The sequence below is a fragment of the Homo sapiens genome, chromosome 22 (assembly GCF_000001405.40).
Source record: "Homo sapiens chromosome 22, GRCh38.p14 Primary Assembly".
NCBI lineage: Eukaryota > Metazoa > Chordata > Mammalia > Primates > Hominidae > Homo > Homo sapiens.
Window position 1 is genome coordinate 30740431 of NC_000022.11, and position 23183 is coordinate 30763613.

Below are 23183 nucleotides of genomic sequence, written 5' to 3' on the forward strand. Positions count from 1 at the left end.
TAATTTCTAATCCTGTGGCTAATGTTACTCTAGTCCCTAGGCAAGAAGGAGGTCTGCTTCGGGAAAGGGCTGTTCCCATCTTTGTTTAAACTATAAACTACAAATTAAGTTTCTTTCAAAGTTAATTCAGCCTATGCCCAGGAATGAACAAAGACAGCTTGGAGGTTAGAAGCAAGATGGAGTCAGTTAAGTTAGATCTCTTTCACTCTCAGTCATAATTTTGCAAAGGCAGTTTCATTTTTAGTAGAGACAGGGTTTCACCGTGTTGGCTCATGACCTCAAGTGATCTGCCCTCCTCGGTCTCCCAAAGTGCTGAGATTACAGGTGTGAGCCACCGCGCCTGGCCCCAACTCCATGGTTCTAAGACTTAAAGGAAAGAGTTTAGCATAGAGTCCGAAGGCTGATCTGTCTTGAGAGACCTGGGCAGTCATTCTGCCATTTCCTGGTGTCTGCAAAGCTTTAGACCACACCAGACACTCCCTGCACACGTGGCACCAATGCAGGCTCCCGTCCCTCTGCCATTCCCCACAGAGAGCAGTCGTGGCCTTAGAGTCCCCCTCAACCAAGCCACGACCAGGCAGTTCCAATAGGCATCATCTCCCAACTTTGACTCCAGGGCCTCTCCCAGCTCTGAGGGTCTGAGATTCTGAGGATTTGCCTGGAGGGTTTCTTTAGTCTGGAGCCATTGAGATTAGGAGCCTCACCCCATTCCTTCTCTTACATCCTACAGAAATCAGGGTGAAATGGCCCACACGTGCCGTGGAACCATCAACCTGTCCACCGCGCACATTGACACGGAGGACTCTTGTGGTATCTTGCTGACCAGTGGGGCCAGGAGCTACCACCTCAAGGCCAGCTCAGAGGTGGACCGGCAGCAGTGGATCACCGCCCTGGAGCTGGCCAAGGCCAAGGCTGTCCGCGTGATGAACACTCATTCAGGTAGTGAGCACTTGGGACAGCGGGTGTGTATATGGTGGTGTCATGAGTCTGGAGGAAGTGGGAATTGCAAGCCACTGGTGGGCAGTGGTGGCCAGGAGACCCAGGCCAGCGTGGATCAATCTGGAAGGTCAAGGTGCGTGCATGTTCTGTGCATCGTCAGCAGTGAGAGACTCAGCCATTCTGTCTGGCGAGCAGTTCTTGGCATGGAAATGTTTTTGGTGGGCAGGAGCTGTGTGTGCCTTTCTTTGGGCTAGTCAGGACTTCAGCAGACCCTTCAGATGCTGCAGTGGGTTAGGTCCAGAAGCAGCAGTCAGTCTGTGCCTCAAGCCAGCCGTTTCCCCAGGTTCCCCCATCGTGGAGAGTGAAACCATTTAGCCAGAGCTGCTGTCTTTGCCTATTAGGGAAGCCCGCTCAGATGTCCTGAGCAAGACATTTTGTTTCTTACTTTATAAATTTATTTTATTTTTTGAGATAGAGTCTCACTCTGTCGCCCAGGCTGGAGTACAGTGGCATGATCTCGGCTCACTGCAACCTCTGCCTTCCGTGTTCAAGCAATTATCCTGCCTTAGCCTCCCAAGTAGCTGGGATTATAGGCGCACACCACCATGCCCAGCTAATTTTTGTATTTTTAATACAGACAGGGTTTCATCACGTTGGCCAGGCTGGTCTCAAACTCCTGACCTCACGTGATCCGCCCACTTCAGCCTCCCAAAGTACTGGGATTACAGGCATGAGCCACCGCGCCCGGCCAATAAATTTATTTTTTAAATATGTAATGTTCGGCTGGGTGTGGTGGCACATGCCTGTAATCCCAGCACTTTGGGAGGCTGCGGCAGGTGGATCACGAGGTCAGGAGTTTGAGACCAGCCTAGCCAACATGGTGAAAACCTGTCTGTACTAAAGATACAAAAAATTAGCTGGGCGTGGTGGTGCGTGCCTGTAATCCCAGCTACTCAGGAGGCTGAGGCAGGAGAATCACTTGAACCCAGGAGGCGGAGGTTGCAGTGAGCCAAGATTGCACCAGGGTGAGACTCTGTCTCAAAAAAAAAAAAAAGTAATATTTTAACATGACTCATAAACCAACAGCTTCTAAATCCTACACAGTGAGGTCTTGTCTTTGACTCCTGGTTCCCAGTCACTCACCCCATTCTCCTACCAAGAGGCAGCCAGAGATACTTGTATCTTCACATGTATATTCAAATAGGTACTTATTTCAAAATAACTGCATTCACTGCCTTCTTTATTTTCCATTTAGCAATATGTCTTGGAAATTTTCCCTGTCAATATGTAAAAAGCCTCCTCCTTGTTCTTACAACAGTGTAGTATTTCATTGTATGGGTGGACCATAGTTTATGTAACCTATAGCTTGTTGGTGAGCATTTGGGTTGTTTTCCTTATTTTGTTGTGACATACTGTGCTGCCATGAGTAACCTTGCAAGTACTTCATTTCATGCACATGTGAGTATAAATGAAACTTATGTTCCAGGAAGCCGGCTTGCTGGGTCAGTGGGCGCGTACATTTGTAATTCTTCAAGGTATTGTCAAACTGCCTTCCACAGGGGTTGTGCCATGGAATGTTAACAGGAGTGTGTGAGGACACACACCTCCCACAGCCTTGCCTGCCCAGAGCTACAGTAAATGTTTCTGATGGTTGAAAAATGTGTCTACACATGCAACAGTGATCCTTCTGAAGTCATTAGTGGAATGGTGTATTCCACAGACCTATGTGTTTGTCTGGGGAGGCAGGGCTCCAGGTGAGAAGGGGGCACAGCCCCTGCTCTCCCAGACTATCTTGGAGACTGGGTGGGGAGATGGTGAGTCCTGTGGAAGGAGCTCCAGCATTTGGCAGGATGAGAGCTAGTGATGTTGGTCCTTATGCCCCATCCCTGTCTCCCATGTTGGGGTCTGTCTCCCAGCTCTAGGGTCTCAGTGAGTATTAAAGGGCACTGAAAACCAGTCTGGCTTTCTCTTTTGTCTCACTCATTTGGAGCATGGGTCACCTGCTTGGTGACTGTTCTCCCTGAGGTGTCAGCACTCATGTAGCTCTCGTATGTCAGCAATGATGCTGAGCTTGACGGCGGTCCCCCGGGTACCACTCCATCACCCAGTGAAGGAGGCAGGTGGGACCATCTCAGACATGGGCTGTGTTGGGACCCCCAGAAGGACCTGTGGTCTCAGTTTGTATGCCTGTGGGAAGCCACTGTGGCAAAATCTGTGGCTGCTGGCACAGCTGGGCTCAGGGCACTCACACTGGCCAAGTAAGGATGCTAACTAGAGATCTAGCTTCCTCTCCCTGGTTTCGCTTTTCTAAGTATAAATAAATAAATAAATGATAAATTGCCTTATTTTTTAGGAACTTCTTGAAAATAATGCAGCAGGTGGCAGTCATGGGATTAGTCATCCGGCAACAGTTTTCCTACGACAGCCAGTGCGAGGGGTTTCTTTTGCAGTTGGCAGGGTGCGGAGGTGAGGGCGGGGAGGAAGGAAGTGCTTGTTAACTCAGCTGGGCAGTGCTGGAGACTGCTGCCCAGACTTCATCTAGGGGAGAAGGGGACCCCTGAGGGAGTAACCTTAGGCTCAGCTTCCTTCATTGTATGAGATGCAGCACAAGTGCCAAGAGGGCAGCCTTCTGGGCAAGGGCACAGGACAGAGACAAATGTCCAGGTAACCCTCAAGGTAGGATTCCTCTCCTGTTGGCTTTTTGAAGCATGAATGAACCATGTATGTGAAGGAAAAGCCTTCAGACGGCTACTCTGTGTTTATGGAAAGATTGGGACCACCTGATTATGTCTTGGAAAATAGCCCTTTTGATGGCCTTCTGTTAAAGGCAAGGTCCTCCTCTCTAAGCTCTCAGGCTGATGTGAGAGAGTTGTGGTTTGTAACTTTTTGCCTGTCTTGGAGTCAGCTTGGGGCAGCCTTGAATGAGAGAAGATGGCCTAATGTCGCTCTCCTTGGGCCTGGCTGATGGTGGCCAGCTGGGTCAAGGACATAGATAGCACTTTAGGCAGGCCACTGTGGGTTATCCCGGGGCCTGTTTTCTTCTCCTGAACTGAGAACCCTGTCTCATCCTGCTGGAAGCCTACTTCCTACTTCTGCTTATCTCTTGAAATCACCTGCTACTCCCCAGCTCTTTTGCCATGCCCTAATCCAAGTACAATCCCCTCCTATCTGGATGTCTATCAGGAGTTCGAGACCACCCTGACCAACATGGTGAAACCCCATCTCTGCTAAAAATACAAAAATTAGCTGAGTGTGGTGGCGCGTGCCTGTAGTCCCAGCTACTTGGGAGGCTGAGGCAGGAGAATCGCTTGAACCCTGGAGGCAGAGGTTGCTGTGAGCCGAGATCACGCCACTACACTTCAGCCTGGGCAACAGAGTGAGACTCTGTCTCAAAACAAACAAACAAACAAACAAACAAATAAATCAACTCTTAGGTGCTATAAACCAACTAGACTTAGCAGACATATACAAAACACTCCACTCAACAACAGCAGATTATAATTTCTTTTCAAGTACACATGGAACATTTTTCAGGATAGACCATATGTTAGGCCACAAAACAAGTCTCAATAAATTTAAAAAAGATTGAGACTATATGAAGTATCTTTTCTGACCGCAGTGGAATGAAGGTAGGAATCAATAACAGAGGTAACACTAGAAAATGCATGGAAGTTAAACAACATACTCTTAAACAATGAGTGGATCAAAGATGAAATCACAAGGGAAATTCGAAAATACATTGAGATAAATGAAAACAAGAACACAGTTTACCAAAATTTTGGAATACGCAAAAGCAGTGCCCAGAGAGAAATGTATAGTTCTATCTAATCCTCATTTGTGTGCCAGAAAAAAATACAAAAAAAAAATTATAGCGCTAAAAGTGTATGTTAAAAAAGAAGGAAAATGAATCTGAAATGAAAAACCAAACTTTATACCCGAAGGAAGTAGGTAAAGAACAAACTAAACTCAAAGCTAGCAGAGGGAAGGAAACAATAAAGATTAAAGTTGGGCTGGGCGTGGTGGCTCACGCCTGTAATCCCAGCACTTTGGGAGGCCAAGGTGGGCAGATCACCTGAGGTCAGGAGTTTGAGACCAGCCTGGCCAACATGCTTAAGCCCCATTTCTACTAAAAAAATTTAAAAATTAAATTAGCCAGATGTGGTAGCAGACGCCTGTAATCCCAGCTACTCAAGAGGCTGAGGCAGGAGAATCACTTGAACCGGGGAGGCAGAGGTTGCAGCAAGCTGAGATCATGCCACTGCGCTCCAGCCTGGGCAACAGAGTGAGACTCTGTCTCAAAAAAAAAAAAAAAAAAAAAAAATTAGAGTTAGAGTAAATGAAATAGAGAATAGAAAAACCAATAGAGAGAATGAATGAAAGCAAAAGTTGGTTCTTTGAAAAGACTGACGTAGTTGGTAAACCTTTAGCTAGACTAAGAAAAAAAGAGAAGACTCGAATTACTGAAATCAGAAATGAAAGTGGGAACATTACTAATGACCTTACAGAAATGAAAAGGGTTATAAGAACAGGATGAAAAGGATTATAATGAACAGTTTATGCCAACAAATTAGATAACCTGGATGCAAATGGACAAACTCTTAGAAACACTCAAATTACAAAAACTGAGTAAAGAAGAAATAAAATATCTTAGCAGACCTACAATGAAGAGGTCATTGAATCTGTAATCAAAGATCTTGAAACTAAGGAAAGTCCAAGACCAGATGGCTTAATTGGGTGAATTCTACCAAACATTTAAAGAACTTGCAAGGCTGGGCCTGGTGGGTCACGTCTGTAATTCCAGCACTTTGGGAGGCCTAGGAGGGAGGATCAACTGAGCCCAGGAGTTTAACACTAACCTGGGCAACATAGTGAGACCCTTTCTTTACAAAAATTTGAAAAATGAAACTAGCCAGGCATGATAGCACATGCCTGTAGTCCCAGCTACTTCAGAGCCTGAGGTGGGAGGATTGCTTGACCCCCAGAGGTTGAGGCTTCAGTGAGCCATGATTTCACCACTGCACTTCAGCCTGAGCAGTGGAGTGAGACCCTGTCTCAAAAAAAAAATTATACCAATTCTTCTTAAATTTTTTCCAAAAAATTGAAGAGGATGAAACACTTTTTTTTTTTTTTTTTTTTTGAGATGGAGTTTCGCTCTTGTTGCCTAAACTGGAGTGCAGTGGTGCAATCTCGGCTCATTGCAAGCTTCACCTCCCAGGTTCAAGCGATTCTCCTGCCTCAGCCTCCCGAGTAGCTGGGATTACAGGCACCTACCACCACACCCGGCTAATTTTTTTGTATTTTTAGTAGAAACGGAGTTTCACCATGTTAGCCAGGCTGGTCTTGAACTCCTGACCTCAGATGATCCGCCTGCCTTGGCCTCCCAAAGTGCTGGGATTACAGGCACGAGCCACTGTGCCCAGCCTGAGGATGAAACACTTAATTACTAATTTTATGAGGCCAGCCCTGATACCTAAGCCAAACAAAGACGTCACAAGAAAAGAAAAGTATAAACCATTATCCTTTATGAATATAGCTGCAAAATCCCTCAACAAAATACTGGCAAACAAAATCCATTAGAGTATTTAAAGGACTATACACCATGACCAAGTGGGACTTACCCCAGGAGTGGAAGGGTAGTTCAACAACAACCAAAAAACAAACAATGTAGTACATCAATTTGACTGAAGGTGAAAAAAGCCACATGTGGCCCTCTCAACTGATACAGAAAAACGATCTGACAAATATTCAACACCCTTTCATGATGAACACACTCAGCAAGCTAGGAATAGAACAGGTAAATCCATAGTGATAGAAAGCAGACTAGTGGTTTGTAGGAACTAGGGGGAGATGGGAAGTGACAGCTTAAAGGGTATGGGGTTTCTTTTTGGGGTGATGAGAATATTATGTAACTAGACAGAGGTGGTGGTTGCACATTATGAATGTACTAAATATCACTTTAAAATGGGCCAGACATGGTGGCACACGCCTGTAATTCCAACACTTTGGGAGGCTGAGGCAAGAGGATTGCTTGAGCCCATAAGTTTGAGGTTGCACTGAACCATGTTCATGCCACTGTACTCCAGCCTGGGTAACAGAGCAATGCCTTGTCCCCAAAAATAATAATAATAAAAATAAAATGATTCAAATGGTAAACATTATGTATGTTTACATCCACACACACGTATAAAATTATCTTAAGTGGCTTGCTAGTGGTCGTTGGGTAAAATCCAAGCTCTTCCTCACATTGGCGGTGCGGTAAGGCCCCGTGTGATCAGGCCCCTGCTGGCAGCCTCCTTTCCTCCTCTTCCTTGCCCCACCCACTGGGCTCAGCTCTGCTTCAGGGCCTTTGTACTTCCTGGTCTCTCTGCCTAGAACACATCTGACTGGTGTCCCATCTTCGGAGCTCAGCCTAATGTCACCTCGAAGTACTTTAAGCTGTTCCTCTCTCTTGAGACATCTCCATTATAGCACCCTGGATATTTTCTTCACTGCCATCTACAGTTATTTTTATTTTTATTTATTTATATTTTGAGGTGGAGTCTTGCTCTGTCACCCAGGCTGGAGTGCAGTGGTATGATCTTGGCTCACTGCAACCTCCATCTCCTGGGTTCAAGTGATTCTCCTGCCTCAGTCTGTAGCTGGGACTACAGGCACCCACCACCACACCCAGCTAATTTTTGTATTTTTAGTAGAGGCAGGGTTTTACCATGTTGGGCAGGCTGGTCTCGAACTCCTGACCTCAAATGATCCACCCACCCCTGCCTCCCAAAGTGCTGGGATTACAGCCATGAGCCACCACACCCAGCCTATTTTTATTTATTTATTTATTTTAAGATGGAGTCCACTCTGTCACCCAGGCTGGAGTGCAGTGGCGCGATCTTGGCTCACTGCATGCAACCTCCGCCTCCTGAGGCCGGTCTTGAACTCCTGACCTCAGGTGATCCGCCTGCCTCAGCCTCCCAAAGTGCTGGGATTACAGGTGTGACCCACTGCACCTGGCCTAAACTAAAAAACTTCCAAGACCCCCGAACCATTTAAATTGTTTATTGTTCATCTCCTCAATAGAACCTAAGTTCCTTGAGGGCAGAGAGAGCCTGTATGTCTGCCTGTATGTCTTGTTTTCATGGTGACCTCAGGGCCAGACACTAAGTTTGTTACTGGGGTTGGTGCCTAGCAAGGATCTGTTGTGGGGCCAGTGTGCCATGACACCCTTGGCAGCACCAGCAGTGTCCTTGCAGAAGAAGACTGTGGTGTTGCGGTTCCTTTCTACCTATTGTCACCAGAAAAGGGGTCTGGTCCCAGATCCCAAGAGTGGGTTCTTGAATCTGTCGCAGGAAAGAAATCAAGGCAAGTCACAGAGTGAAGTTAAGATCACTTATTAGAGACTACTCAGTTACAGAGTAGGGCATCCTCAGAAAGCAAAAGGAGCAATGTGCTAGCAGGTTGTTAAGAATTGTGTATTTAGGCCAGACATGGTGGCTCATGCCTGTAATCCCAGCACTTTGGGAGGCCAAGGCAGGTGGATCACCTTAGGTCAGGAGTTCGAGATCAGCGTGGCCAACATGGTGAAACCCCGTCTGTAATAAAAATACAAAAATTAGCTGGGCATAGTAGCGCACGCCTGTAATCCCAGCTAGTTGGGAGGCCGAGGCAGGAGAATCGCTTGAACCTGGGAGGTGGAAGTTGCAGTGAGCCGAGATTGTGTCACTGCACTCCAGCCTGGGTGAGACAGAGCGAGACTCTGTCTACAAACAAACAAACAAAAAAGAATCGTGTATTTATTACAAAGGCTGGTGATTAACTAGTGGCAGGCTATTAGTATTGTTACTTTCCTATTGTTGCTAATTCTTGATTTTAGCAAGAATTTATGAGTGTACTATTATTTTTAAATCAAAACCTACTCTTAAACTAAGAATGCTTTTGTGTTTTTAAAGTACTGGGACATTTCCATAAGTTCTGAGTCTTTAGTTGGTTAATATCATTAGCTCATTCTCTTAACCATAAACATGTGACCAGGAGTGCCCAACCTCCTGGGAATGTAACCCAGCAGCTTTGGCTTTATCTTGGCTTTATTCAAGATGGAGTCACTCTGGTTAGGATGCTTCTGACACTGTCACCACTGGAACAAATGAACTTGTGACATTTGGCCGGAGAAAGGAAGACCAGGCAGAACCTGCTTGAATTGAAAGTTTGAAGAGTGAGGGTGTGCAAATGAAGCCACAGACTCGTTTCTAATTTTGTTTGTTTTTTATTTTTGAGATGGAGTCTTGCTCTGTCACCCAGACTGGAGTGCAGTGGCGCAATCTTGGCTTACTGCAACCTCCGCCTCCCAGGTTCAAGCAATTCTCCTGCCTCAACCCTCCAAGTATCTGAGATTACAGGCATGCGCCACCATGCCTGGCTGATTTTTGTATTTTTAGTAGAGACGAGGTTTTGCCATGTTAGCCAGGCTGGTCTTGAACTCCTGGCCTCAAGTGATCTGCCCACCTCAGCCTCCCAAAGTGGGAGGATTACAGACGTGAGCCACCGCGCCTGGCCACAGACTCGTTTCTAGTGGAACAAGCAGAACCAGGAGTGGAAGCAGTGAGACTGATTTCTGCTTGGTCAAGAACAGAGCACACTAGGAGAGGGAGGGAGAGGTGAAGAACATAGTGAAAGGTCAGAGCCAGAGGGCTGGGCCTGACGGTCCTCCCAGTGTTTGAGTGCTGTCATTCTGGGCTAAGTTTGCATTTCTCTAACTGTTCCCTTTCCAAATTTGGTAGAATATTCTGTGGCAGTGTGGACAGAACAGTGGGCCCAGGGGCAGATCTGATGCTGGATAAGTCACTGTGTCTCATGGTGCCTCAGCCTCTCGTCTATGGAATGAACAGTTGACCAAACTTCTCCCTAAGCCCAGCTCTGGGGCCTTGGTCAAATCAGTGAATGTTTCTGAGCTCCAGTTCCCTGTCTTTGGCATTCCTGCTTAGTTGCTGGGAGGATTACACGATGGTAAATGCAAAGTGTGTTGCACTGTGAATGCAACCAATTCCATTCATGCTGGCATTGCTGGTGGGTCATGTGCCCCATGTAAACAAAAAATTAAAATTCAAAGGCCCCCCAACCATCTAACTGGGACTTCCTCCTAGGCCAGGGCACTCTAAAATTTAACCTGAAAGACTGGTTCAGGCAATGATGGGAAGTGGGAATAGGACATGCCTTGTAATACCTCTCTGATGTTAACATCAACACAGACCTTAAGTCTGATAAGAAACATTGGCAATCTATTCTCTCCAAAGCCTGCTACCTGGAGGCTTCATCTGCGTGATAAAACTTTGGTCTCCACAACCTCTTATCCCAACCCAGGTATTCCTTTCTAGTGATAACTCTTTGTTTTTTGTTTTTGTTTTTGTTTTTGAGATGGAGTCTCTATCTGTTGCCCAGGCTAGAGTGCAGTGGCACGATCTCAGCTTACTGCAACCTCTGCCTCCCAGGTTCGAGCAATTCTCCTGCCTCAGCTTTCTGAGTAGTTATTATAGGCATGTGCCACCATGCCTGGCTAATTTTTGTATTTTTAATAGAGTCGGGTTTCACCATCTTGACCAGGCTGTTCTTGAACTCCTGACCTCAGGTGATCCACTCATCTCAGTCTCCCAAAGTGCTGGGATTACAGGCGTGAGCCACTGCACCCGGCCTCTATTGATAACTCTTAAAATCAATTGCCAATTAGAAAAAATTTAAATCTACCTGTAACCTGGAAACCCTGCCCACTTCAAGTTGTCCCACTTTTCTGGACCAAACCAATGTGTTTCTTAAATGTATTTGATTGAAGTTTCGTGTCTCCCTAAAATGTATAAAATCAAATTGCACCCCAATCACCTTGGCACATGTTCTCAGGATCTCCTGAGGGCTGTGCCAGGGGCCATGGTCACTCATATTTGGCTCAGAATAAATCTCTTCAAATATGTATGTGTTGTGTGTGTGTGTATATATATATGTATATATATATATTTTTTTCTTTTTTCTTGAGACGGAGTCTCACTCTGTCATCCAGGCTGGAGTGCAGTGGCGTGATCTCGGCTCACTGCAACCCCCATCTCCCAAGTTCAAGCAATTCTCCTGCCTCAGCCTCCCAAGTAGCTGGGATTATAGGTGTCCACCACCACGCCTGGCTAGTTTTTGTATTTTTAGTAGAGACGGGGTTTTGCCATGTTTGCCAGGCTGGTCTCCAATTCCTGACCTGAGGTGATCCTCCTGCCTTGGCCTCCCAAAGTACTGGGATTACAGGCGTGAGCCACTGCGCCCAGCCCTCTTCAAATATTTTACAGAGTTTGACTCTTTTCGTTGACACCCAGCACTCATAAATCATCCGCCCACAGCCGGTGGCAGGAGATGGGGCAGAATCACCCGCAGGAGATTAGGCGCCCAGGGCACTTGAGAGGTGAAAGGAAAAAACTGCTTTTACTGTCTTCAAACAACTTATGTCCAACAACATGTGTCGACCCAAAATGAGGCTCAGCAGCCCCCGAGGGATTCACCTCTAGAAAGACATTCACCTTCTGCTCAGGGCAAAGACATGCTGCTTGTGGCTGCAGGAGGGAAAGCCATGGTCATCCTGGGGGAGGCGTGCTCACACTTCCCAAAAGAGTACCTGTGTCAGTCACAGAGGGGTCTGCAAGCTGGGACGGTAGCCCTTCCCTGCCAGCCCTTCCTCAGCCGTGGGCCTTCCCTGGAGCCCAGGACCAGGTGTTGGAGCAGAGTGCTGTTCAGCGGCACCCAGCCACCTCTGCTCACTGCAGTAGTGATTCTCTGCCTGTGCATCTAAAATTTGACCTTTTGAGGTTTTCCAGTTTTATATTTATGGCTCGAACTTGCCAGTTGCCTAAAATGAGCTGAAGGAAGGAATACTTATTTCCAGGCCACATATTTTTTCTTTGCTTTGCTTTTTTTTTTTTTTTTTTTTTTTTTTTTGAGACAGAGTCTCACTCTGTCGCCCAGGCTGGAGTGCAGTGGCACCATCTCGGCTCACTGCAAGCTCCACCTCCTGGGTTCACGCCATTCTTCTGCCTCAGCTTCCCGAGTAGCTGGGACTACAGGCGCCCACCACCACGCCCAGCTAATTTTTTGTATTTTTAGTAGAGACAAGGTGTTACCCAGGATGGTCTCGATCTCCTGACCTTGTGATCCGCCTGCCTTGGCCTCCCAAAGTGCTAGGATTACAGGTGTGAGCCACCGCGCCGGGCCCAGGGTTCTTATTATGCAGATGAAGCCTCCAAGTAGCAGGCTTCAGAGAGAATAGATTGTAAATGGTTCTCACCAGACTTAAAAAGGTGCCACACTCTTAGTTCTCTCCTGGATCAAGGAAAAGACCTGGAAAAGGAAAGAGATTCTCTAAAGAACATAGACTTTCCCAAGAGACAGATTTGCAGGGCCATTTCAAAATATGTCAAAGAAATGTATTTTCAGGTAAAATACTCTGATCTCTTTTAGGGCCTGCTATTTGTCATGTGATACTATACTAGAGTCAGGCTGGAACTTGGTGTCATTGCTACAAAAAGTCTTAAGATCTCTGCTTTAATGTTAATGCTAGGCAGCTGTGCCTGAATTCCAAAGGGAGGAGGGTACAGAGGCATGTCCAACCCCCACTTCCCATCATGACCCTAGCTACTTTTTTTAGGTTAACTTTGGAATGCCCTTGGCTGAAAGGAGGAGCCCATTTACATGGTTGTGGCACTTCGAATTTTTTTTCAGTTTACAGCCCTATATGAACTCAAACTTCAGGAGCAAGGTGTGGCAGCTCCCACAGAGGTGAGAACCAAGACCCTCTGTGGTTGGAAGGGAGATTTGCATATGGATTAGCACAGTGTAAGGTAGGAGGCCCTCAGTGTCTTGGGGTGGCTGGAGGTGGGGTGTGGGGATAGGATGTTACTGGTGGGAGGTGAGACTTGAGAAGCTTTGGAATATGGAGATGGAGGTGAGGAGGGCAGGGAAGAGGACTCCAGGTGGTGGGCATGGTTGGAGCAAAAGGGTAGATGTGTTCAGGGACTGTGAGTGTCCTCTGTGGCCTGGGCATCATAGTCAGACTGCAGCATCCCTCAGCCTGGGAGTCACCAGGGGAGGTTCAAGATAACTTGGTGGAGACAGCTCCGTGCTCCTTCCCTTGAAGCTGAGGGTATTGGCCTGGGCAAGATCTGGGACTAGGACCTCCATCTGGCCAGGAAGGTGGTGGATGGGAGGGCTGGACAGGCTCAGTGGCCAGAGTGTAGAAGTCACCTGTCCACTCCAGGCCAAACCGTCTTTGGTCAGCAGCCACCACAGAGCGGGATGATGTGCTTTCCCAAGGATTTTGCATGTGATGGTTTGAACACGGGTTATTTGGCTCCCTCTGAAAAGAGTTATTATTGGACTTATCCCCAGGAGAAGGGCATATTTGCCTGCAACCCTTCAGGGGGAAACAAACTTTTTCCACATATTTGAAGTTATGAGAGGGATTTGAAAGCAGTGAAGCAAGCATGTCCTGTAGAATGCCCTGGAATGCAGTGGCCTTTTCTCCAGCCAGTTTGGTATTCCTTCCGTTTTGCCTGGTGGCAGCTCTCACATTCCCTTCCACCTGTGTATTTGGGGCTGGATGACACATTGTTCCCTGTGTGGAATTTATTTGTTCTTAATTGTTATGCCCAAATATTGTGTCACATTGATCAAACTCCAAGAAATCAGAGGCACACAGCACTTGAGAGAATTACTCTGAGTCTTTCTTTCTGCTGCTTGGGGAAAAAATAGATTTTCCTTTGAATCTTTTGGCTGGACTTCAGCCAAAAATTGGGCAGACTTTTCCAAGTGCGTGAGAAGATGCTGAAACTCCCTGGATGTGTTTTCCCTGCACACTCCCTCTGTTTATAGTTCCTGTTTATTGTTGACATTGGAAGGCTCCTGTTCTGTGAAAGAAAGCAACGCAATCCTGCAAGGTCACTGAAAGGCAAAATGGTTCTTATGCACTAAAGTGCATGCATATGTCCCTCAGCAGGCTTTGATTGGTGTCCTTGTGTGTCCTGGGGGCTGAGCCAGATGCAGGGAACTCAGAGATGAACAGGCACAGGCTTGGACCTGGCCTTTAAGGAGCTCACTGTTTGGGGCTGAGGAGAGACTCATGTGGGCAGCACAGGTATGCTGGCCCATGCAGAGGAGAGAAGAGCTGTACCTGGGGTGGAGTAGGCACCTCACTGTTTCCCCGTGCCCCTTGGCTTACACCCCACCCTGCTCTGTAGCAAGCTGCCTTACCTTCCCCATGTCCTTTGTGTCACCCCCGAGGGCTCTCCCTTGGCCTCAGGGAAGCCTGTGTGCTGTGCTGTCCTGCCCCGCCGGCCTCATCTTGGGGTCTCCATGTGTGTCTGACTTCTCCACCTGGAGCTCCTCTGCATGGACCTCCTGCTGCTGTGCTGGGGCAGGGGTTGACCTGTCCAGCCCCCTGGCTTCTGGATCAGCTTTGGTCATTGCCTCTTGGGGCTGCCCTTGCCCCATCTCAAAGCCTCCCATTGCCATATAGCTTTCTGCTGACTACATCTTCCTGTCCCCATCACTGATCTTCCCATCTGTCTTCAAGCTCATAAAAACTCCCCGTCCTTGACCCCTCTGCTTTCTTCCTGTATACCCACTCTTTCTGCTGGGCAGCCTCTCCTCTTTCTTGCTGGGACCCTATCTTCCTGACCTCTTAGCTTTCAGCACACGCATCTCCAACGCCCTAGCCAGGATCAGCTCACTTGTGTCCCCCTGTGGGCACTTCTCAGCTGCTGATGGACAACATCTATAGATCTATAGCTGTGTAGGCCGTGGCCACTAAACAGTCATGCTTTACACCCACTGGGCATGCCAGACCCACAGGGGCGCTTAGAGCAGAGTGGGTGCAGAGCTCTGGGCAGCTGATGGCTGGGACCTCAGATGATGTCCTGGGCCACAGATCAGGAGACTTCCCTGCTGGGCTGGAGATGTACAGGGCCCCATATCACCAGAGAGACCAGAGCTCACCACAGGACCAAGCAGCCTTTCAAGAGAGTCCTTATTATCAGATTCTCATTCCTTTCTTATCCTTTATTAGAAAAATTCATATGAGGAAGGGCATGGAGTTTTCTGCTGTTCTGATGAGGAATCAGGCAACCCCAGGACCGTGTGATTGGTTGTTTAAGCAGCTTCCGAAGTGTAGGCCTCTTTTGACTTCGGGAAGCTTTGTCTTATTTCCAGCTGCCATCTGGTGGCTGGATTGAGGCCCTTCTGAGGGCATGTTGAGTCAACCAGGGCTGGCTTGCTCACCTGTCTTTATAAGGTCCCCACAGGGTCATCAGAATGTGAGACCTCTGGGGAGAAGAGTCCAACCAGGAGAAGGAACTTTCACCTACGCAGCCCCCACCCTCCAAGAGGGGCAAACCTGGCCCAGGGACTGGTCGATTGTGCCCCTCTTCAGCGTTCCCCTCCCTGTGCCACTCATTCTTCCAAATCCTGGTGTCTTGGTGCCTCTGCTAGGATTGCACCCCACCCGTCTCAGCCCTCAGGTCCACCAGGGCCCTTGGCCATGGAGCTTGTCCTCAACCCCTGGGCCTCGTTCCCTGGTCGGCATGCTCTTGCATCTTCAGCTGTGCCTTAACGTGGAGCACCAGTCCCCACGCAGCCTGACCCCACTAGGCCCTGTCCACCTCTGCCCCCACATGGTCACCTCCAGACTCTGTGGGCTCTGGCTCAGTAATCTTAAAATCAGAAGCCCTGTTCTGGCCACCACAGCAGTTACCCTTCCAGTGCCCTTCCAGATCTGACTCCTCCAGGTGGCAGTTGCGTTTTTCTTTTCCTTTCTCACTTGGCCTCGCCCTGTGGTTCATCCCTGCTGGGGTGAGTTCTTCCTCTCTCTCCTGGTTGTCTGGCTTCCTTCACACCTGTTTGTCCTCTGTCTAACCATGGGGCAGCCCAGGCACTAGACAGGTTGGGCCCAAATCCAGACTGTGTCACTTATAAGGTGGGTCCCTCTGCCTCTGTCTCTTCACCCACAAAGTGTATGTAATGATAAAGACCTTTTAGGGGCCAGGCATGGTGTCTCACGCCTGTAACCCCAGCACTTTGACTTTGGGAGGCTGAGGTGGGCGGATCACGAGGTCAGGAGTTCCAGACCAGCCTGACCAATACGGTGAAACCCCGTCTCTAGTAAAAATACAAAAATTAGCTGGGCATGGTGGCGCACGCCTGTAGTCACAGCTACTCAGGAGGCTGAGGCAGAAGAATCGTTCGAACCCGGGAGGTGGAGTTTGCGGTGAGCAAAGATCATGCCGCTGCACTCCAGCTTGGACGACAGAGCGAGACTCCATTAAAAAAACAAAACAAACAAACAAAAAAAACCTCTTAGAGTTGTCAAGAGGGATAAATCAAATCATGCTACAAACTGCCCAGCAGTCACTGGAGTGTGGTGGCCACTCAGCTGACGGAAGTAACATTGTCAGTCTTTGGGTGATGACCTGTCAGTTCTGCACCTTCTACCTTCAGGCAGGGGTGATAGGGCCCTTTGCTGAGCACACGTACACATGCTATGCAGCCACGTTCTGCAGTGACCCTCCCAGCCATGCAGACAACACTCCTCAAACCCAGGGTATCTGCTGTGTGGTGACCCCTTCCAACCATGCAGACCACACTCCTCAAACGCAGGGTATCTGCTGTGCGTTGACACCTCCCAGCCAGGCAGACCACACTCCTCAAACCCAGAATATCTGCTGGCCTTGATCAGTACCTGTCCCCTTTGTGTGAGTCCCTCACCACCTTTCTCTCCCATCTCCCAGGGACGTCCTTGCTACTCTGTATATTTTCACTGCTGCCTCCTGCCACACTGCAAAAGATCTTGCTTCCTCATGCATAGAACAAAACCAGATCCACAGCTGAGCCCCTCAGCTCTCTGCCATTACACGCTCCCTGCGTCCCCCCTGCCATATGAATCCCAAATGATTCCAGTGGAGACATTTCTCCCCTTTGAAGCAGTGCCAGCTTCAAAGGGTGATTTTCTCCCTCTTGCTGGGGGACTTGGTTTTATCGCTGTTTTCTTTTTCCTTTTCTTTTCTTTTTTTTTTGAGACAGAGTCTCTGTCGCCCAAGCTGGAGTACAATGGCATGATCTCGGCTCACTGCAACCTCCGCCTCCCGGGTTCAAGTGATTCTCCTGTCTCAGTCTCCCGAGTAGCTGGGTCTACAGGTGGGTGCCACCATACCTGGCTAATTTTTGTATTTTCGGTAGAGACAGGGTTCCACCATGTTGGCCAGGCTGGTCTCAAACTCCTGACCTCAAGTGGTCTGCCCGCCTCGGCCTCCCAAAGTGCTGGGATTACAGACATGAGCCACTGCACCCAGCCTTATTGCTGTTTTGTCACTCCTGTAGCCTCAACCTCTCTCCTGGCCTCTTCCCACTGCATATGACCCACCACTCACTACTTTGAAACTGTACTAGCCAAGGTCTCAGGTCACTTTCCAGACCTGGCAGATGACTAAGAAGTGAACCTGGGTGTCACCTTGAGTCCTGCCCTCCCTGATCCCTCATGTGCAGCTTGTCAGCAGATCCTGTCAGTGCCAGACCTGAGCACTTTCACATCTGCCCACTGCCCTCCATCTGCCTGGCCTCCAACCCAGTTTCACTATCTGACCTCCCAGAGTCTGGACAGCAAGAGTGAGTCTTTTAAAATCCAATTCTGCTCAGTTCCAGTTCCAGGTAGGATTAAGTGAGAAGGTTTCACTCTGCAGCTATGAAACATGGACAGGGCCAGGCACAGTGGCTCATGCCTGTAATCCGTGCACTTTGGAAGCCTGAGGCAGGCCGATCACTTGAGGCCAGGAGTTCGAGACCGGCCTGGCCAACATGGTGAAACCCCATCTCTACTAAAAATACAAAAATTAGCCGGGTGTGGTGGCGCACGCTTGTAGTCCAGCTACTGGGGAGGCTGAGGTGTGATAATCACTTGATCCCGGGAGGAAGAGGTTGCAGTGAGCCGAGATGGCACCACTGCATTCCAGCCTGGGTGACAGAGCGAGACTCTGTCTCAAAAATAAAATAAAATAAAATGTGGACAGAATGCACAGAGCAGCTATTTGAGCACCCTGAAAATTAAGTAGCCACAAGCAGACTAGAGAAGACCAGAATCTGAGGTAACACCAAACAGGTGGTGAGGTTACAATTTTTTCCCTCCAGTATCTTCTAGAGTGGACTCAGGGGAGACCCAGAAGTGAGCAGACAGAGAAAACTCCTGGAGAAGCCCTCTAGTTCAGGCTCAAGGAGGAAAGGGTCCCCTGTCAGTGATAGCAGTGGCGATGAGAGGCCTGCAGGTACCAAAAACTCAGAGGAATCCATGCACACCAGTAGGAAGAGCTCTGGGCCCAAGAAGTGAGGGAACCCCTGTTCCATTTTTCTCTCACTCTTCCTACCACTTAGCCCCCGATATAGGTGTGGTGGTGGGAAGTGGGCAGCCAGAGGACTGAAACAGAGCCCAAGAGAACCAGAAAAAAACAGGAAATCACAGAAAGAGAACACCTTGGGAAAGTGACCCCATAACGTTGTTTTCATGAACTCCTGGCTTCACGTTCAAGCCGCACATGGATGGATCTGATCCTAAACAGCATACTAAAGATTTTGAGAACTGAACTTAAAGCTGCATGAATACCCACGTCCCTGTGGCCACTGGCTGGCACACATGTGGAACAGATCCAACTAGTACTGCAAAGGGCCGGGCGCAGTGTAACCTGGCACTTTGGGAAGCCGAGACAGGTGGATCACTTGAGGCCAGGAGTTCGAGACCAGCCTGGCCAACACGGTGAAACCCCGTCTCTACTAAAAATACAAAAATTAGCCAGGCGTGGTGGTGCACACCTGTAATCCCAGCTACTCGGGAGGCTGAGGCAGGAGAATCGCTTGAGCCTGGGAGGCAGAGCTTGCAGTGAGCCGAGATTGCACCACTGCACTCCAGAGCAAGACTCTGTCTCAAAAACAAAAACAAATAGTACTGCAAAGGCTTTGAAAATGGAACAAACAGTGAAACCACCACCCAGAGACGGCTGGTCACTACCTGTGGCCTTAACCCAACTTATTTGATAGACTGCTAAAATGAAAATATCAAATTACCAACATCAGGAATGAAATAAACAATTAATAGCACTAACAAACATAAAAGGACAATACTACAAAAACATAAAATAGATACATAATACATAAAAGGAATGCTACAGACAACTCTGCTGACAAATTTGACAACTTGGATGAAATGAACCAATTCTTCAAAAATCAAATTCTAACACTTGCCCAAGATCAAATCCATAAACTGAATAATCCTATAACTATTAAAGAAGTTGCATTCATAGTTTAAAACACTTCAAAAAAGAAGTCTTCAGGCCTACATGATTTCACAGGTAAATTTTATCAAATATTTGAAAAAAGAATAACACTATTTCCACACAATCTCTTCCAGAAAACAGAAGAGGAATGAGTAATTTCTTTTCTTTTTTAATTTTTCTTTTCTTTTTTTTTTGAGACAGTGTCTCGCTCTGTTGCCCAGGCTGGAGTGTGCAGTGGTGCAGTCTTGGCTCACTGCAACCTCTGCCTCCCAGGTTCAAGCAGTTCTCCTCCCTCAGCCTCCTTAGTAGCTGGGATTACAGGCATGTGCCACCACGCCCAGCTAATTTTTTTTTTTGTATTTTTAGTAGAGACAGGGTTTCACCATGTTGGCCAGGGTCATCCTGAACTACTGACATCAGGTGATCCGCCTGCCTTGGTCTCCCAAAGTGCTGGGATTACAGGCGTGAGCCACTGCACCCGGCTTTTTTTTTTTTTTTGAGACAGAGTCTTGCACTGTTGCCCAGGCTGGTCTCAAACTCCTGACCTCAAGTGATCTGCTCGCCTTGGCCTCCCAAAGTGCTAGGATTACAGGAGTGAGTAATTTCTAACTCATTTATAAGGACAGCATACCCTGATACCAAACTGAACAAAGATAGTGTAAGAAAAGAAAACTTCGGACCAATATTTCTCATGAGCATAGATGAAAACATCTTCAACAAAATATTAACAATTTGAAACCAGCAATACAATAGAATATTACACCATGATCAAGTGGATTTCATGCTAGGAGTGCAAGATGAGTGCAAGATAGGTGCAAGATAGGTTCCATGTTTGAAAATCAATAAATGGGGCTGGGGGCAGTGGCTCACACCTGTAATCCCAGCACTTTGGAAGGCCAATGCAGGCAGATCACTTGAAGTCAGGAGTTCAAGAGCAGCTTGGCCAACATGGTGAAACCCTGTCTCTACTGAAAATACAAAAATTAGCCAGGCATGGTGGTGCACACCTGTAGTCTCAGCTACTTAGGAGGCTGAGTCAGGAGAATCGCTTGAACCCTGGCAGGGCGGAGGTTGCAGTGAGTGGAGATCGCACCACTGCACCCCAGCCTGGGCAACAGAGCAAGACTCTGTCTCAAAAAAAGAAAAAAAAAAGAAAATCAATATAAATGGAATCATAATATTAACAATCTAAGAAAAACTACATTATAATATCAATTGATACAGAAAAAGGCATTTGACAAAATTTAACATTATTCATGGTAAAAACTCTCAGCAAACTAGGAGACTCCTCCACCTGATTAAGGGCATCTTCAAGAAACTGACATCATATGTAGTGATAGAAGACTGAATGCTTTACTTTCCGCCTAGGATCAGTAAAGTCAAGGATGTCCATGCTCACCCCTCATATTCATCCTAATACTAGCCAGTATTATAATGCAAGAAAAAAGAAGTCAAAGGCACTCAGATTGGGAAGAAAGAAACAGAGCTATCCCTATTTGCAAGCGACATGATGGCTGTGTAGAAAAATCCCAGGAAATCTACAAAAATATTTTTAGAGTGAGTTTAACAAGGTCACAGAATACAAGGTCAGTACATAAAGGCCAGTCATATTTCTGTGTATTAGCAATGAACAATTGGTAACAAAAAATTTTTAAAAATCACTTACAATGACCCCATGAAATACTTAGATATAATTATAACAAAACAAATATAGTATCTATATGTAAATAGTGTTAAATACTGATGAAATAGAAGACCAAAATAAATGGAGAGACATACAATGCTCATGGATCAGAAGATTCAAGAGAGTAAAGACGTCAGTTTTCCCTTGACTGATCAGTAGCTTGAATGCAATTCCAAAAAAAATCCCAGCAGGACATTTTCTCAGCATAGACAAACTTATTATACATTTATATGAAAAGATAAAGAAATTAGACTAGCTAAAGCAACTTTGAAAAAGAAGAATAAAGGTGGAGTAATTACTCAATTTTAAGACTTATCATAAAGAAACAAGACAGTGTGATGTTGGCAAACACTATATAGATTAATGAGATAGACATATACATTAATGGAACAGAATGGAGAGTCCAGAAATGGGCCCAGACAAATATGGTCAGATGGCTTTTGACAGAGGTGCAGAAACAATTTAATTGAGAAAGGTTAGTCTTTTCAACAAGTAGTGTTGGAACAATTGGACATCCATATGCAATAAAATGAATCTTGATTTATACTTCTTATTTATATAAAATTTAACTCAAAATGTAAACCATACAACTATAATACTCCCAGCAGTTTGGGAGGCCGAGGCGGGTGGATCACTTGAGCCCAGGAGTTCGAGACCAGCCTGGGCGATATGGCGAAACTCCATCTCTACCCAAAATAGAAATATTAGCCAGGCATAGTGGTGTGCAACTGTAGTCTCAGCTATTTGGAGGCTGAGTCAGGAGAGAATCATTTGAACCTGGGAAGCAGAGGTTTCAGTGAACCGAGATTACACTACTGCACTCCAGCCTGGGTGACAGAGTGAGACTCCATCTCAAAAAATAAAAAATAAAAAATAAAATAAAAATAAAATGCAATTTTGGGCCGGGCGCGGTGGCTCACGCCTGTAATCTCAGCACTTTGGGAGGCCAAGGCGGGTGGACCACGAGGTCAGGAGATCGAGACATCCTGGCTAACACGGTGTAACCCTGTCTCCACTGAAAATACAAAAAATTAGCCGGGCGTGGTGGCGGGCGCCTGTAGTCCCAGCTACTCGGGAGGCTGAGGCAGGGGGTGAACCCAGGAGGCAGAGCTTGCAGTGAGCTGAGATTGCACCACTGCACTCCAGCCTGGGCAACAGAGCAAGACTCCGTCTCCAAAAAAAAAAAATGCAATTTTGATTTATGTCTCTTCTCTGGCTCCTCTTGCGCTCTAGACCCATCCAGCTTCTGCTGTCTTCACTGGCACACCATCTTGCTGCCAGCCAGCGTGAATGCTGTACCTCTTGTTGGCAAGGTCTGTTCCCTAGTATCCAGCCCCTTCCCACACCCTATTTTCCTCAAGTCTGTTTACCCTCCAGGGAGAGGCCATTCAGGAAAGCCTTCTCTGAGCCAGCCTCCTGCCTGGGCCAGATGTTTGCTCCCAGGTGTTTGCTCCTTGGCTCAGCCCCTCGAGCATGGTAGCGTAGCAGTTAGTCTGAGCATGGGCTTCCTAGAGCCTCAGAGTCCCCGCTTGTCAGTCCCCTAGAAGCTTCAATTCTGTGCTTCCCAGGGTCCCTTCAATCAAAGATTTCTAAGTCAGTGGAAGCAGAGATGCTGGAGCCAGCCTGCCTGGGTTCAAATCGTGGCTCCCACACTTACCCACTGTGTGACCTTGGACAAGTTGCTTGCCGTCTTTTGCATCATTTCTCTCCTTTGTAAAATGGGTTTCATGATAGAACCAACTCTTAGAGGTGCTGTGAGGATTAGTTTAGATAATGTGTGAAGAGATCTTGGCACACGGCTTGGCAAACACTCGACTAAAGTAAGCTGCAGTTATTGATAGTCACTTTCGCAGCTTTAAAATAATACAGGTTCCCAAGAAGTCCCCTGCCCTGCTAAAACAGAATGAGAATGACTTTTGGGTGCAGAGGGTATTTGTATTTTTTTTCAAAAGCTCCTTGAGTGGGATTGGCAGATTCAAAATATACAAACACAGGTTGGCCGGGTGCAGTGGCTTACGCCTGTAATCCCAACACTTTGGGAGGCTGAAGTGGACAGATCACTTGAGGTCAGAAGTTCAAGACCAGCCTGGCCAACATGGTGAAACCTGTTTCTACTGAAAATACAAAAATTATCCAGGTGTGGTGGTGCATGCCTCTAATCCCAGCTACTTGGGAGGCTGAGGCAGGAGAATTGCTTGAACCCAGGAGGTGGAGGTTGCAGTGAGCCGAGATTGAGCCACTGCTCT

General features: G+C 47.3%; 1 protein-coding gene across 3 annotated transcripts in view, besides 2 other annotated features; it reads left to right on the top strand.

The window, feature by feature from the left end:
• Nucleotides 1-23183, top strand: part of OSBP2 (oxysterol binding protein 2) — a 214032-nt gene that overhangs the window by 46649 nt on the left and 144200 nt on the right. For all 3 annotated transcript variants that reach the window (NM_001282738.2, NM_030758.4, NM_001282739.2), the window contains one exon: nucleotides 731-939. In NM_001282738.2, the coding sequence (NP_001269667.1) occupies nucleotides 731-939 (209 nt within the window). The remainder of the gene's footprint in view (nucleotides 1-730; nucleotides 940-23183) is intronic.
• Nucleotides 268-327: an enhancer, noted in NCBI's record as "active region_18844". NCBI's record gives its function as "activates an Ori minimal core promoter by ATAC-STARR-seq in GM12878 lymphoblastoid cells {active_cell/tissue: GM12878}" and the evidence as "EXISTENCE:reporter gene assay evidence [ECO:0000049][PMID:35858748]".
• Nucleotides 15092-15241: a silencer, noted in NCBI's record as "silent region_13617". NCBI's record gives its function as "represses an Ori minimal core promoter by ATAC-STARR-seq in GM12878 lymphoblastoid cells {active_cell/tissue: GM12878}" and the evidence as "EXISTENCE:reporter gene assay evidence [ECO:0000049][PMID:35858748]".